Source organism: Homo sapiens, chromosome 16 (genome assembly GCF_000001405.40).
Source record: "Homo sapiens chromosome 16, GRCh38.p14 Primary Assembly".
NCBI classification, from domain to species: Eukaryota; Metazoa; Chordata; class Mammalia; order Primates; family Hominidae; genus Homo; species Homo sapiens.
The window spans coordinates 26020220-26037797 of NC_000016.10; the positions used below are offsets into that span (position 1 = coordinate 26020220).

The window sequence follows — 17578 nt, forward strand, 5'->3', positions numbered from 1 at the left end:
AGTCAAACTGGGATAATTTTATATTGCTTGATCTTGGCCTCAGTGGAAGGTAAATGTGCAAAAAGGAGAGTGTCTAGGGCCACAGCTCTTGCATCTATTTAAAGAAGTGCTGTTGTCTGTGGGGCACGAGAATTATAGATATACGAAGAGGCATTAGTACATTGTGTCTCCCCTCCCTAAGCAAAAATCAATGTCCTAAGAGAAAAAGCTCTGACCATTCCCACAGCCAAACGAGAGATGATCAGAAAGAGCAGCGCTGTGACAGCCGGAGGACTGAGGCTTTGCATTTCTAAGAACTTGAACCTGCATCAGAATCATCTGCAGGGCTTCACAAACACAGTTTGTTGAAACTGCATGTTGAAAGCACCCCTAGGTGATGCTGGTGCTGCTGCTCTGGGAAACACACTTTGAGAACCTCTCATGTCATGATTAAGAGCTTTGCTACTCTCAAGGTGTGGTTCATGAACCAGCAACATCAGCATCACCTGGGAGCTTGCTGGAAATGAATCTCAAGCCTCATCCCAGACCTTCTAAACCAGAATCTGCCTTCAAGTAGATCTTTAGGTGATCCGTGTGCAGGTTCAAGTGTGAGAAGCCCGGGCTGAGAACACAAACTCCAGGACCCACATTGTTTAGGTTCAAGCCCAATCTCTACATGTATTAGTTTTGCAAATTTTGGTGAATTAATGATCTATGCCTCAGTTTCCATATATGTAAAATGGGGATGGTTGGTAAGAATGGTTCTTGCCTCATAAAGGAATAGATGCATCCATGCATATAAGGCCCTTTCCACAGTTCCTGTCATGCTGTAAGCACTTCTTAAATGTGATTGTTAATATTTGAACATTTGGAGTTTGAAACATCAAAACAGCCCCGAGTGAGGTAATGATCACTGCAAACACATACATGGTGAATTTAATTTTAGTAGAGTTGCACCATAGTCAGCTATGGGCCAAATTTGTCTGGCAGATTTATTTTATGTGGTGATTTTTAAAAAGGAGTTTGTTGTCAATTTTTATATATGGGCGATTTTACATACATGTCTGATTTTCATCTTCCTTCGAAAAGTTAAAAGATCTGTCCACACTGGACCTGCATTCCTGCCCAGCGGTGATCAGCCTGCATCATTAGATGGATGAGATGGGACAGACATTCTTTCCTGTTGACTTCTGTCCTCCCCATTCCCTATTATCTTACACTCAACCCACTTTACTCATTTGTGTTACCTGTCCGCCATTGTAGATATTTGAGGTAGCAATTACTGCATCCTATTATTTAGTTTCACTGAAAAAGATAGGATGTGGTCATTCATGAATACAACAGAGACCCACAGAGATGTGAGGCTGTGAGGATGCCCAGCAGCGTACGAGGCTCACACATCAGACATGCGGCCCCTTCCCATACAAACACAACCTCTAAGCACTTCCAATCTAAGTTCTATTATTATTATTATTATTATTTTTGAGACAGAGTCTAGTTCCGTCACCAGGCTGGAGTGCAGTGGTGCGATCTCAGCTCACTGCAACCTCCGCCTCCTGAGTTCAAGTGATTCTCCTGCCTCAGCCTCCTGAGTAGCTGGGATTGCAGGCACGTGCTGCCACAACCAGCTAATTTTTGTATTTTTAGTAGCGACGGGGTTTCACCATGTTGGCCAGGCTGGTATTGATCTCCTGACCTCGTGATCTGCCCACCTTGGCTTCCCAAAGTGCTGGAATTACAGGTGTGAGCCATCACACCCAGCCTACTATTATTATTTTTTGGGGGACAGGGTCTTGCTACATCACCCAGGCTGGAGTGCAGTGGCACTTTCTTAGTCCACTGCAGCCTTGAACTTCTGGGCTCCAGTGATCTTCCTGCCTCAGCCTCCCAAGTAGCTGGGACTACAGGCACATGTCACCATGCCTGGCTAGTTTTTTAAAATTATTTTTTTGTAGCTATGGGGTCTCACTGTGTTGCCCAGGCTGATCTCAAAATCCTGGCCTCAAGCTACCCTCCTGCCTCGTCCTCCCAAAGTGTTAGGATTCTATGCATTAGCCATGGCAACCAGCTAAGTTCTCTTCTCAGCAAAATTGTAAATACCTTTTGGGTGAATCTCAGTGGAAATTAAGGAAATCTAAATCTAAAATGTTAGTGGTGGGTGATTTGTATTGGTTCACTCTTCATCTGCAATTACATAGTGGACACTTACTGAAAATTGGGGGAGGGGACATATTCATAATCCCATGCTCTAAATCAAGGGCCCACAGTCTTTTTCTATAAGAGCAGATAGCAAACATTTTAAGCTTTGTGGTCCAGGAGGCCACCTGCTCTACCTTTGTAGCATGAAAGTAGTCCCAGACTATGTGGAAATGGAGGAGTGTGTCTGTATTTACAGGCTGTACAGACAGGCAGCAGGTCAAAATCTGGCTTGTGGTTGTTAGTCAATTCAAAGGTCCATTTTTTGCACACAGAATTTTCTTCCTTTTTTTTTTTTTTTAAGAGAGTCTTGCTATGTTGCCCAGGCTGGTCTCAAACTCCTGGGCTGCTCAAGTAATCCTCCTGCCTTGGCCTCCCGATGTGCTGAGATTATACCACACCTGGCCTACAGCGCTTTTTATTCTGTGAAAACACTGTTTTAACAACTTTAATAACTGTATTTTTAGTAGAGATGGGGTTTCATCATGTTGGCCAGGCTTAGCTGGGTGTGGTGGCGCATGCCTGTAATCCCAGCTACTGGGGAGGCTGAGGCAGGAGAATCTCTTGAATCCAGGAGGCGGAGGTTGCAATGAGCCGAGGTCATGCCATTGCACTCCAGGTGGGGAAACAAGAGTGAAACTCCATCTCAAAAAAAAGAAGAAGAAAAAAAACCAACTGTATTCACTTCAGTGTACATACCATTTGCTATTTCTTTTTTTTCCTTACCTCACTGGATTTCTTAAGCATTTTTTCATGTTTTTAAAGCATCGTAATGATTTTCATTGTTAATGGCTGCAGATTATGTCATCTTGATGCACCATTTGTACCACTTACTTTCCCATAAAACTATTTTTATCTGTAGGTATAAGTATGGTGACTATATATACATAAATATATGTTTTATATATATATATATATTTCTGCCTCAAACATTGGCACAACTGCTCTGATAAGAAGAAGGTTATTCAAATAGATAGAAGAATAGAATTAAAACAATTTTTTACTGTCTTAAATTTTTTTTTTAAGACAGGGTCTCACTCTGTCACCCAGGCTAGAGTGCAATGGCATGATCATAGCCCACTGCAACCTCAAACTCCTGAGCTCAAATGATCCTCCCACCTCTACCTCCCAAGTAGCTAGTACTAGAGGCACACACCACCAGGCCTGGCTAATTTTTTTATTTTATTTTTTTGTAGAGATGGGGCCTTGTTATGTTGGCCAGGCTGGTCTCAAACTCCCGGCCTCAAGTGTTCCTCTTGTCTCAGCCTCCTAATGTGCTGGGATTTATAGACATGAGCCATCCCACCTGGCCAATAATTTAATGTGCATAAAGGAGCTCTCCTACCTAGTCTTTATCTCTGATTTTCTGGTTGATATAGCAGAGTGGGGTAGAATGCACATGATGTTTGCTGCAAGACAGAGAGGAGTTTGCACCCTGGCTTGTCACTTATAAGTTGTGTGACCTCAAGAATTATTGAGATTGAGTCTCAGTGTCCTCATCAGAAAATGCTTCCTCTGTGAGGTCATTCTGGGTATTAAAGACAATGTCAATGGGTGCGGTGGCTCACGCCTGTAATCCCAGCACTTTGGGAGGCTGAGGCAGGTGTATCACTTGAGATCGGGAGTTTGAGACCAGCCTGGCCAACATGTTGAAACCCTATCTCTACTAAAAATACAAAAATTAGCTGATGTGGTGGCACATGCCTGTAATCCCAGCTACTTGGGAGGCTGAAGCAGGAGAATCGCTTGAACCCGGAGGTGGAGGTTGCAGTGAGCAGAGATCACACCACTGCACTCCAGCCCAGGCAACAGAGAGAGACTCCGTCTCAAAAGGAAAAAAAAAAAAAAAAGGCAATGTCTGTAAAGCACTTAGCTCAGTGCATGGTATCCAGGACATGTCAGTAAGTGAGATCTCTGCTTATCATAATAGTTCATTAGTTATGCTGCCTCATGGCCCAGTTTGATAATCCATCTTCCCTTTAGAACTGTGGCATAAGAGTCCATGTAGGAAGAGCACCCTCTGGCCACTTCATTTGCTTTTAAAACAAGTCTCAGGGCTGGGCGCAGTAGCTTACACCTGTAATCCCATCACTTTAGGAGGCTGAGGCAGGCAGATCCTCTGAGGTCAGGAGTTCAAGACCAGCCTGGCCAATATGGTGAAACCCTGTCTCTACTAAAAATACAAAAACTAGCAGGGCATGGTGGTAGGTGCCTGTAATCCCAGCTACTCGGGAGGCTGAGGCAGGAGAATCGCATGAACCCAGGAGGCAGAGACTGCAGTGAGCCAAGATCGTGCCACTGCCCTCCAGCCTGGGCGACAAAAGCAAGACTCCATCTCAAAAAAAAGTCTCATTTACGTAGTGCTTTATGGTTTATAGAACACTTTTAATGATCTTTATCCTTTGTGTAATTCCAGCCTTAGCCAAATTGACAGAGTGTAATCTAGCACAGGCTGTGGGTCAAGTCCAGCACCCCCATGCTAGGTGAGTAAACCAAAAGCTGGATTATCTAAGTGACCTGCTAACAGTTGCATGGCCAGCAAAGCACTTGTTTGTGGAATATGACTTATCTTTATTCTGTGGACCTCCCCTCTCCCATTTCATTCTTAGTAAAGTTACTAATGGGTAAAGTTCCAACTTTTTTTTTTTACTAAATTTCATCCTATCCCCTTAAGACCATGTTGGGTACATGTTGCTTTTATATAGATTTGCAGAGAATAAAAAATTACATTCCTAAGATACCTCTAATGTATGAGAAGCCATGCCACTTTTTAATAAAAGGACAAATTTTTCCAAGAGGAAAGGACTGTAACATCACCTGATGTTAAGATAGGGCCTAGTTAGGTTGGTGCAAAAGTAACTGCGGTTTTTGCCTTTCAACATAATGGCAAAACCCACAATTACTTTTGCACCAATCTAATAGGTTGATTGCCAAGTCTCCTTGCACTTTCCATCATCTATTACCGTTTCATTCGTACGCTGGGTCTCACATCTGATATCCAACATGCTCCTCAGAACACTCGTGCTCTTCTTTTGAAGGGATATTTTATGGGATTATTCAGATCTACAGGCCACAAAAGCCAGCAATCCCAGAAACTCCAGCCACTTTGTTTGAAACAGAGTTTAGGTCTCAGAAGAACTGGAACGCTGCCACGCAAAGGAGTTTTTGATTGGCTTGTGATGTGCCACTGGTTCTTTATTAGAGGGTACAGAGGGCTGATGAAGTCAACTATTTGGCAAATGCTAAAGGCTAGGGCAGGCTCCTATGCCTCTGCAACATTGATTGATGTCACATCATGGGATCGTAGGCAATAACAGGGAATTCAGTTTACCAAGGAACTTCTGGAAGGCTTAGCAACAACACCACCCTTTTTTTGTTCCTTTGTTTTTGCTTTTGTTTTGAGATGGAGTCTCATTCTGTCGCCAGGCTGGAGTGCAGTGGTGTGATCTTGGCTCACTGTAACCTCTGCCTCCCGGATTTAAACAATTCTCCTGCCTCAGCCTCCCAAGTAGCTGGGACTACATGCACGTGCCACCATGCCCAGCTAATTTTTGTATTTTTAGTAGAGACAGCGTTTTACCATGTTGGCCAGGCTGGTCTCGATCTCTTGATCTCGTGGTCTGCCTGCTTCAGCCTCCTAAGTAGCTGGGACTACAGGCGTGTGCCACCATGCCCAGCTAATTTTTGTATTTTTAGTACAGACAGGGTTTTACCATGTTGGCCAAGCTGGTCTTGATCTCTTGACCTCGTGATCTGCCTGCCTCAGCCTCCCAAAGTGCTGGGATTACAGGCGTGAGCCACCGCACCCGGCCGGAAACAACATCGTTTTTGAGAAACCTCCCTAGTTTCTCCTTAGGGTGATAACCAGGACCAATGCTTGGATTTCAAAAGCCAATATACTAGGGCTTAGTCAGAAAGGATGCATTTGGTCACAACAGAAAGCTCTGGTGCATCAGTTTACACCATAAGAATAGTTCGTTATTGCACCTAGGAGGAAGTTTGGAAGGTAGAGTGGCTCCAAGGTTGGGTAATTCAGTAGCTCAATGATGTCACCAATGATCTGGTTATTCCTATCTTTCTCCTTTGCTATTATCTTATGTCAGTTTTCCATGCAGGCTAGCTTTGCCCCATAGTCATGAAACAGATACAGCAATATTAGGCATCACCTCCAGAATCAACTCTCTCCAGAAGAACAAGAATATGGAAAAACAAGATATGACATCACTTTTTGGTACCCCTGTGTCTGAGAAAGGAAACCTTTCCCAGAAGCTCCCCAGCTGATTTCTGCTCATGTCATTTCTCCAGAATTTGATTACACGTCCAGCCCCGCATGAAACACTGGCAAGAGAAGTGGGGTCGTCATAATTGTTTTGGACCAATCAGATGTACGCTCTGAGTCTGATATGAGAAATGGCACTGGTGCTCAAGCTATCAAAGAAGAAAGAGCCACCAGGAACTTCCGCTGTGTAGGGCAAAGTGGAAGGGAGATGTCCTCATGGGACATTTAAATGATAAATGCTAAACCTTTTGCGTGCACATGAATCCGTAGGCTAAGCATTTGGAAAATCCCATAGGACTCATGATAGACCTCTGAAGCAATGAATCTTTATTCATAAGGCAGTACTTTCTGTTTCTTCAGAGTACCCCTGCTTATAAATATCTACTGCCGAAGTCCCAACTGCAGACCTTTGGACTATGAAGAAATATTTATTTTACTTCTTAAAATAAAACTTAAAGTAAAATCTGTTTCACTTGTCAAAAACAAAAGTAAAACTCTGAACTGGGGATTACTTTGGACTGTAGCCATGCTGTCAGGAAACTACAGATAGTTCCATTCATAAGAAATTTCTATGGTTCTCATTGGCCAGTAGCCATCAGGAAACTACAGACAGTTCCATTCATAAGAAATTTCTGTGGTTCTCATTGGCCAGTAGTTGAAACATGACCCAGGGAACTACTTACATTCCATCTTAAAAGCCCAGGGATGCTTCCTCTTCTAAGAAGCCTTCCTTGACTCCCCCAGCCCGAGTTCCTATCTCCATATTCTCTGTGAACATTGTCTACTTTGTCATGTCATTATTTAGGTCCACATTTACTTCTCCTTCTTGAACTCCTCTAGATTTATGCCCCTATCTCATTTTGCTTCTCCAAATTATGGTATGGATCTGGCACAGTGTTTATTTATGTTGAATAAATGAATGAATGAGTGAATGAGACAGCAGAAGAATTTGGTGAGAACAGCTTCCTAGGACCACTGCCAATTATACAACTACTAACTGTTAACATTCATGAAGCACATTATAAATATGCTAGGACCATAATAATCACAGCAACTATACACAGTAGGCATTCTCTTATTAATCCTGATGTAACAGAAGAAGAAACTGAGGCTTAGGAGAAGTTTAATACTTGTTCGAGTTCACACATCTAGTGATACAAGGGGGTGGGCCTAAACTCAGTAATGGCTGACTCCATGGTCTTAACCCTTTGCAAAACTAAGGATGTGGCTGGATTGCAGTCCATCTCCCAGGAAAGAAACAATCTGGAAAACAAAGAGTCTTTTTAATTCAGAATAAAGATTAAAAAGAATAAGAGAGGGCTGGGAGCGGGGCTCATGCCTGTAATCCCAGCACTTTGGGAGGCCGAGGTGGGTGGATCACCTGAGGTCAGGAGTTCGAGACCAGCCTGACCAACATGGTGAAACCCTGTCTCTACTGAAAATACAAAAATTAGCTGGGTGTAGTAGCAGGCGCCTGTAATCTCAGCTACCTGGGAGGCTGAGGCAAGAGAATTGCTTGAACGTGGGAAGCAGAGGTTGCAGTGAGCCAAGATGGCTCAGGTGCACTCTAGCCTGGGTGACAGAGTGAGACACCGTCTCAAAAAAAAAAAAAAAAAAAAAAAGAATAAGAAAGTAAGCAAAGATGAGGTAGGGACTGTATTTTTAATCCACTTTAAAAATTGTGAAAATTAAAGATGATCATAAAGATAAAGATAACTTATTCTCTTGTGTGGGTATGACTAGTTATCAAGAAGAGAGACTTTTTAAAACAAAACTATTTATTTTGTAGAGATGGTTTATCACTGTGTTGCCCAGGTTGGTCTCCAACTCCTGGTCTGAGGCGATCCTCCTGCGTCCCAAAGTGTTGGAGTTACAAGCATGAGCCACTGTGCCCAGCCTGAGAGAGGCTTCTTGATCAGCTTGCTGAGTGCAATGTGATGGGCTAGTTTCTGTGCCAACCAGAGATGAGGGTGACGTGGCAGCAACAATGCAGTTTATAAAAAGCCCAAACTATCCCACATCTCCATGTGCACTTCTTCTCTAGGTGTTGGGGAAGATATTCATGATATTGAACAGTTGTTGACATATATATTGATTGTATCTCTGGGCGGAGCCTAGCTACTCCAGGCCACTTTTTATATTCCAGTTATGAAACCATCTACGTTTTGGATTAAACACAGAGCCCTGACCTACAGGCAGGAGGCAGAGTGGCAAAGTGTGTAAGAACGTGGGTCTTTTGTCTATGGCCATACTACCCTGAACATACCCGATCTCGTCTGATCTTGGAAACTAAGCAGGGTCAGGCCTGGTTAGTACTTGGATGGGAGAATATGGGTTTTGGTGTCAGAAAATTTTAGGTTTCGGTCGTGGGACTCCACACACATCAACTATTACTTGTTGTTTTATTTTTATTCCTATCCTGACACAGTCATTCATGAATTCTGAGAATTTGGTCAAGTCATTCTTTACCACAGAGTTTTTGTAACTGGAACTTGGATTTGATAATACTCAGTTTCCAGAATGGTCACTAGAAAAAAATGAGCTAAGAGTTATGATGCTGTGGTAGCTCAGGGAAACCTGGGGGCAGGACTGGTTTCATGGTCACATGGCCTGAACAGCCACAGGGGCCCTGCACTTGGACGGTCCCATCCCATACTTGGTTTAATGGTCCGCTATTGCCATCTTAAAATTCTTAATAATTTTTGAACAAGGGTCCCCACACTTCATTTTGCAAGGGGTAGTTCTTTTTTTTTTTTTGAGACAAAGTCTCACTCTGTCGCCCAGGCTGGAGTGCAATGGCACAATCTAGGCTCACTGCAACCTCCGATTCCTGGGTTCAAGTGATTCTCCTGCCTCAGCCTCCTGAGTAGCTGGGGTTACAGGCATGCGCCACCATGCCCGGCTAATTTTTGAATTTTTAGTAGAGATGGGGTTTCACCATGTTGGCCAGGCTGGTCTCAAACTCTTGACCTTTTGATCCACACGCCTCGGCCTCCCAAAGTGCTGGGATTATAGGCGTGAGCCACTGCGCCTGGCAATTATGTAGTTCTTTCTACCTGGGAGAGCTGCTGGGTTTATTGAAGCATCAGTTCCAGGAGAAGGGTGCTGGCCTGAAGGAGCTGACCCATGAGGGACTGTTTCCTGGTCATTCACCACCATTTCCACACGCAGTGTCAAAAGAAGTGAGTTATCCACTGGTTCGATTTTTGAGAAACCAGGATATGTCCTTTCTTAACCCCACACCTCTGCACACACTGACCTCTTTGCTGAAAAACACCCGTCCCCTGAGCACCTGTCAATACCAAATTCTTAGTCCCCCCATCGTTCGCTCTTTGTGAGAGCAAGACCTGTCCAACTTGTGAGTGCACCGCATGGCAGCATGGGTCTAGGGACATTTGGAGGTCCAGGCTTCCTCCTTTCATGTGAGATAGATTTTTGTCTCATCTTCATGTGATCACTGGGTATGGTGGTGAAGAATAGACCAGCCTGCCTAGGTTCACATCTTAGCTCTGCTCATCTCTAGCTCCATGATTTTGTGAGTTACATAAATACACAATCCCTTGTCTCTTCACCTGTAAAAAGGAAATAGCTGGGTGTGGTGGTGCACACCTGTAGTCTCAGCTACTCTGGAGGCTGTTAGGAAGATCACTTAAGCTCAGAAGTTAGAGGCTGCAGTGAGCTATGATTGTGCCGTTGCACTCTAGCCTAGGCACCGGGTGAGACGCCGTCTCTAAAAAAGAGAAAGAAATAATGCTGAAATTGTTTATATTTCTAGGTTAATGATGAGGTGCAAATAAATCAACGCAAAGCACCTGAAGCCATGGCTGGTGCATAGTAGGCAGTCATATTTGTAATTACTAGAAATATTACACTTTTTCTCCTTCTATAACCCAATTAAGTAAGACCTGTAGAGCCCATCAGAACCAGTTTTGTACTTCTCCTGGGAGCTTGCTGGCTATACATACCTAGGCACCATACACCCACTCACCTAGGTTGAGTCTCATTCCCTTCAACCATAAGAATTCTAGGAGTGAGACCTGGCATCTGCTGGAAATGGTATCATTTCATAGAATAAATATGGTCTTGGGTCCTAGAAACCCATGCTTGAAATTCATCTCTTCTACATACAAGCTATGTCAGATTCCAAGTTATGAAAACTCTTTAAGCCTTATTTTTCCCCTTTAAAAAGAAGATAATAGTGCCTGTTTAAAGAGGTGCTTTCTCCACCAAAGAACATGAACTCCATAAAAGCAGGGGGTTTTGCCTGCTTTATTCACTGCTGCATTCCTCAGACAGTGCCTAGCACGTAGGACATGCAAAAGAAGTATTTGTGAAGGATAGAATTGTTGAGAGAATGAAAGTATTAGATTTATGTAAAGTACCTAGTGTGGCGATGAGTATCTACAGAGCAGACACTGGGTAAAACCATGGCTATGGATGTTATTGAGGTAGCTGTGGGTCCAGCCAAACCAGTCCCATTCAGAGCGGGACTACCTGCCTTGGGCATGTTGCTGGGATTGGGAAGTGATTTTAGATAGCAAGAGTGAGCAGAGGAGCTGAAGCGGAAACCCAGGCACAGGGCCCCGCCACTCCCCGCCCCGGGAAGAACCAGAGAAAGAGATGGATACAGATCATTCAGCAGCTCCCAGAAATGTGGCACCAGGGATGGTCCCAGCTCACCCTCCTGTGGGCCGGGACGAGGCTCCCGAATCTGACTCATTTCTATTGGAATAAGCTTAAAATCCTTGTATAACTTAGCTTGTTCTAGGAGGACATTTGTATTCCAGCCAGGGAGGGAGCTGGGAAAAGCTGGCACACACTGAAACACACTCCACTCCACTCCAAAGGCAAGCTTGATTATCGTTGCACTTATTTTGACTAGGCGAGTGTTAGATCCTAATCAAGCAGAGAGGCGCAAATTGGCCCCAAATTAAAAACCAAAAGGGAAGAAGGATCATTTAGAAAGCATGTCAATAGGAGCCTCTGGCCCGACGCACCGGCCACAGGGCCCAGCAGAAAGATGGAGGCGTGTTTTTTTTTTTTTTCCAAGCCAAACTGTATCCAGCTTTATTAAAGATACTTTCCATAAACAATCATGGTATTTCAGGCAGGACATGGGCAGACAATCGTTAACAGTATACAACAACTTTCAAACTCCCTTCTTCAATGGACTACCAAAAATCAGAAAGCCACTATAAAACCCAATGAAGTCTTCATCTGATGCTCTGAACAGGGAAAGTTTAGAGTGAGGGTTGACATTTCACATTTAGCATGGTGTTTAACAACTTTTCACAAGCCATCTCTGACTTTCAGGAAGTGAAATGAAAATGGCAGAATTTATCTGAAGATCCACAATCTAGAAATGGAACCACTGCTCTTTTGACAGGTGCCATCTCAGTGGCATCACTGGAAAGTCCAGATTGCCTGACACACTGGTAACCAATGACTAGGGGTCAGGTCCCAACAGATGTCTGGGCTTAAGGGAGTTAAGTCTATGCTGAAAGATGGAAAGGGAGAAGAGGACATAAAAACAAATTTGTCTTTCTATACCACAAGGCTTTTGTGCCAAGGTGGCCATGTGTGTCAAAGTCAGGGAATCCCTCCTCCTGGGAGCCAAGAGGAAGTCTCTCAAAACTAGAAGGGAAAGGTGTTTTCTCCACATCAATCCAGCTTTGGAGACATTCTATTAGTGACATATGCCCCTTCCCCCAAAAACAACAATGAAGTGTTCTGTGTGCTAACAACATAGCTTTAAAAAAAAAAAAAAGTAAAACAAAATTCCACATTTTTATAAAACTTGATAAAAAATAGTATTCCAAACTGTACAGTCACCAGAAGTACACAGTTATCAAAAATGCACACACTTCACTTGGCATCTCCAGCACCTTCAGCTTTCTGTGCCTGGTCTGTTTTGGCATCTCCATTTTCTGCAGGGTTATTCCCCTCCTTGCCAGCATCAGCTTTTCCCTTTTTCCCTTTGGGTACCTTCTCTCCCTTCTTTGCAGGGGCCTTTTTAGTCTTGGGCTCTGGCTTTGGAGGAGCAGGTTTAGCAGACAACCTCGCGGATCTTCTCTGTGGTTCGTCCTTCACCTTGGCTTTATCTCCCTTAGCATCCCCTTCAGCCTTTCTCTTGGGCATGGTGGTGGCGGCGACGGCAGCAGGACGTAGGTGCTGGACGCGGGATGCAGTGGCGCGCGGGCTTTGGTCGGTCTGGGGGTCGTTCTCGCCTCTTCTTCACACTGCTCCGGAGGCGTGTTTTAAGACTGATTTAGATTCAGGCCCAAAGTATTCTTACAGTAAATTAGGAAAAAGTGGCCCTAGCTCAGGCATTTCTTTACATCCATGGGAGGGTATATACGAGGTGGGACCCATTCATTAAGACCTGAACGACAGACTGCGAAATTAAGTGGAAAGAACACAGGTGGCCGGGTGCAGTGGCTTACACCTGTAATCCCAGAATTTTGGGAGGCCATGGTAGGAGGACTGCTTGAGCTCAGGAGTTCGAGACCAGCCTGGGCAACATAGCACAGTTCCCATTTCTAACAAAATGTATATTAGCAGGCTGGGCATGGTGGGTCACGCCTGTAATCCCAGCATTTTGGGAGGCCAAGGCAGGCAGATCACCTGAGGTCAGGAGTTCAAGACCAGCCTGGCCAACATGGTGAAACCCTGTCTCTACTAAAATACAAAAATCAGCTGGGCCTGGTGGTGGAAGCCTGTAATCCCAGCTACTTGGGAGGCTGAGGCAGGAGAATTGCTTGAACCTGGGAGGCGGAGATTGCAGTGAGCTGAGATCACACCACTGCACTCCAGCATGGGTGACTGTGTGAGACTCTGTCTCAAAAAAAAAAAAAAAAGGAAAACAAAACAAAACAAAACAAAACAAAAACAAAATATATATTAGCTGGGTGTGATGGTGCACTTTGTAATTCCAGCTACTCCTGAGGCTGAGGTGGGAAGCTCGCTTGAGCACAGAAGTTTGGGGCTGCAGTGAGCCATGATCACACCACTGCGCTCCAGCCTGGGCAACAGAGCGAGACCTTGAGAAAGAAAGACGGACAGAAAGACAGAAAGAAGGGAAGGAAGGAAGCAAACAGACTGTAGAATTGAGCAGGCTTGGATTTCACTTCATGCTGCGTTGCTTGCAAGCTGGGCGATCCTAGCCTCTCTGAGCCTCAAGAGACTCATCTGAGCCTCATCTCCAATCAAAGATAGTATGAAGGCTGCGGTGTAGTCAGGATTATGTGAACAAAGAAAGGAAATGTGGTTGGTAAGAGAACACTTTGCATATAGTATTGCTTAACAAATATTCTCCCAGTCCACGCCTCCACAATCTGCAATCCCAAATTCCATGATCAGGTTTCAGGCCCTAGGTGACCCCAGGAAAGTCAATGTGTACTGCAATAAATGAGAGAGTCTCACCTCTGATTGCTTTTTCTCCAGGATCTTCCTGGAGTCTCTGCTCTCAGGCTCTGACATCCATAGGTTCCTGGAAGGAGGACAGAGCAAGGGAGCGACTGGATGAGGGCAGGCTAATGGGCATCACAATATCAGGGCAAGAGTATGGTGGGTTCTCAGTGCAGATGCCCAGTGACCCAGGCAGCATTTAAGGGAGCTGTAAGTGTGGATGCCTGAATGGCCTCTTCAGCATCTACCACCGAAGCCTGACCACAGCACCTTACATTCACCATCATCTATAGTCAGTCATTCAGTACACAGCGACTGAAGCCCACTTTATGCTAGGCCTGTGCTGGCCTGATAGGGTGCAAGTCATGGATCCTGCTCTTATGCTATGTGCCATACAGAGAAAGTCGGCTTTCCCTTCTCTTTCCAGACCTCTTGAGAATACCCCAAATTACCATTTTCCCCATTCTACATGGCTTCCAGGTTGCTCTCTGTCCTGGACCCTTGTCCAAAAGACATATTCTAGTTCATCCATTTCTGTGCTAATGTGTAATCCCTAAAACTGGAGGTGCTCCATTAAATAGCAGGGGCGGGGGGGGGTCTCACCAGCATGGAGTGAGGATTTTGGATTACAGATGTTTGGTGTCTTCATAAGGAAAGCCTATTAAAAAAAAAACTGACGTGAGTTCAAGACCAGCCTGGGCAACATAGCAAGACTCCATAACTACAAACATAAATAAATAAGTAAATAAATAATTAGCTGGGTGTGGTGGTGTGCACCTGTAGTCCCAGCTACTTGGGAAGGTGAGGTGGGAGGATCATTTGAGCCCAGGAGGCAGATCTTGCAGTGAGCCATGATCACCCCACTGCACTCCAGCTGAGCAACAGAGTGAGATCCCATCTGAAAAAAGAAGAAAGAAACAAAAAACTGATTTTGACCTCATCATCTGCCCATATCTCTTTGGCCATCTCTGTGCAAGACATTGATATAACTGTGCTGTGAACAATTTTAATGAACTCAAATCACAATCTCCAGAAATTAGCAGTGGTAAAATTCGGTTTAGGTAAGAACATGCCATGAGTGGGTACATTCTCAGAAGGAAGAATACCAATGTTGTAATTGTGAAGTGGAAAGAGACAGTTGTCAAAGGAAACACAGAGGTGGTCATTATTTGCTTGGTCTCCACCTCTTTCTTCTCCTCTCACTTATATTTTGTACGTTTTTGACTTCAGAGTTATCATCTACTCATGGACTGGCAAATTAACTTCTCCAGCCCAGACACATCCTCAGTGTTCCATATTTTTACATCCAACTGCCTCTAAATACTTCCTCCTAGATGTTTCAAAATATCCCAAACTGAAGCTGTGCTCTTCACAAATCCCTTTGCTAAAGCTGGTTCTCTTTCAGAGCTACCTCTATTGGTGAAGTCAACAATATCCATTCTTTTGCACAAAGCACAAACTTAGGAATCTTTTCTTTCTCCCTCAGTCTCCCATATATAATTAACCACTCACCTATTGATTGTAATTTTAAAAGTCACTTGAGTCTGTCTACTTCTCTTCTATCTCCTGCCAATACCCTAGTTTAAAATCCCATTTCTTTCATCAGAACTCTCAAGAGTATCCCAGTTGGTCTTCTCACATGCAATCTCTCCCTCACTGCAGCCAGAGGAATGTTTTCCAAATGCGCAGCTGATCACATTATCCTGCCATTGACTCTGTGTTCCTGGGTACATACTTAAAACTCTTAGTGGTATCTCCTTGTTCCTATGATAAAGATGACACCTTGGAGCTGAAAGTCAAGTCAACTCCCCATGACTAATTATGTGAACTATGAGTGCAGGAAGAGTCCTTTCTCAAAGCCAAATACAGGGCTGTTATCTGCATAAGAGGTGTGGATACTGGGTAGGTAAAGACAGCAGGTGTTCACTGAAAGTCTCTCTCTCCAAGAGAAGCAGCCTCTCAATGGAAAACCTTACAAGGAATAAACAGTTGTTCAAGGACCTATACAGGTGGGCTGAGATATTGAGTTTAGCAAGAGACTGGGAGGCCAGGTAAAGTTATAGTTATAGAAAAGCTACAACTAAGTGGAATCAGGACATGTGTACCAACTTTATTTCAGCCCCATTAAGATAACACTGGCTGGTGAGGCCAAGGCACTCAATATACACACTGCAGCTGAAGCATGTCTATTCATGGATTGGGGGAAGCTGGGGCTGACAGGAGTTTGGCATGACTTGGTCATAATGAATTTCTGTTGGTTTCTCCCTGCTCAAAAACCATCTGTGAATAATGCCTTCTAGAACTGAACTAGGGTTAGACGTGACCCTGCCCAATCTGTATTTCCTGGGATCCAGCCTTGATTGTTTGTCTTGCCTGAAATTGAGCTCATTTGTCTGTATCAGATCTCCTGGTGTTTTTCTCACCCACCTGCCCTGGATTTTTGTTCTTTCTTTCTTGAAGTTCAACTTTACCTTATAATGGATGCCTCCATTTAAGCCACTGATTGAAGTTCTGGGAGAGAAAGGAAGATTAGATGTACTTTTTTTCCTATGCATTCCATCTCCCATGTCTCTCCAGAGATATTAAACAATCAAGCCAGGTCACCCCCCTGTTTAAAAGCTTCCAGTTTTCTGCAGACTGAAGTTCAGGTGCTCAAATGTGGCATATAAAATTCTTTGTAACATAATCTGTATCTTGGAGGGTTTCTTTGCTGCAGACACAGAAACTATCTAGAACAAAAGGAAAGCCTTAAAAAGAATGCATTGGAAAGAGCTCATAGGATGTAAGGAAAAACTGAACAAAGAGGTGCTGAGAAAGAACTGGAACCAAGAACTGGACAGGAATCCAGGAAACAGGAATGAAGAAACAATGTCTTTAAGACCTGGTGACCAACATGAACCAGCTCCAAGACTTTTCCTTCAACCCCTCCATGACTTAAATTAATAAGAACCCTCCCATTGTGTGACTTTTGGTGTGGGTACCAATCAAGGTATCTCACTTCCCTTGGGTAAAAGGCAATGATCTAAGCTCAGCCTACTTGGGTAGAAAGAACAGCGCCATTCTTAAGCCCATGCATGGAGCATCCTTGCCTCATGCCATATACCTTAAGAGGTCTCCACTCTAGTCCTTCACCTGCTACGTGCCTTTCCATGAGATAAGGAGGCCACAGGCCAAGGGCACATACCTTCCAGGACCTGAACCCTCCCTCTGGACCTTCATGTTGCTTGCAGAGACTCCAGACTTCTCTGCCCAAGTTGCCTCTTTCTTGGATCTCTTCTCCTAAGGAGAGATTGTGTGCCAATGTTTAAGGAATATAGAGCCTGTGGTCCACTGATCTTCAGTGTGAGTGTTGTGTTGTACTCACACACTCGGAAAAAGCAACTCAGAGTAAGAGATAGAACTGGGAGTAGGAAGAGAAGTGGAGGGCAGACAGAGGGTTGGGATTTAAGAACCATAAGCTAGGAGCCAGCTCTTCCCATGCTGCCAATATTGGCAAATAAATCTGAGAAATAGAGGATTCTAAATCTAAACTTGACCTTCCAGGCCATTATGAACATAGGAGGAGAGTATATGTTTCACTGAGCAGTTTGTTGGATTGCTTTATAATTTTCAGGTACCTAGGTATGTGGTATATTTCCTTTCATTGGTGCCATTACCCTGGCCCCTGCAAATGTGCTAGATGGGTCTGTCAAAGGAAATTAGGGTGCCGCTACTTAA

General features: G+C 44.2%; 1 protein-coding gene, 1 non-coding gene and 2 pseudogenes across 2 annotated transcripts in view; 3 read left to right on the top strand and 1 right to left on the bottom strand.

Annotated features, from left to right (window-relative positions):
- The window catches only part of HS3ST4 (heparan sulfate-glucosamine 3-sulfotransferase 4), a 445727-nt gene that overhangs the window by 328261 nt on the left and 99888 nt on the right, over positions 1-17578 (top strand). The gene's annotated exons all lie outside the window — the stretch shown is intronic.
- MIR548W (microRNA 548w) lies at positions 5018-5091 on the top strand. Its single transcript, NR_036146.1, has one exon. It is a non-coding gene; the product is annotated as a microRNA 548w (primary transcript).
- On the top strand, positions 8693-8806 carry RNA5SP405 (RNA, 5S ribosomal pseudogene 405; annotated as a pseudogene).
- Positions 11498-12712, bottom strand: HMGN2P3 (high mobility group nucleosomal binding domain 2 pseudogene 3; annotated as a pseudogene).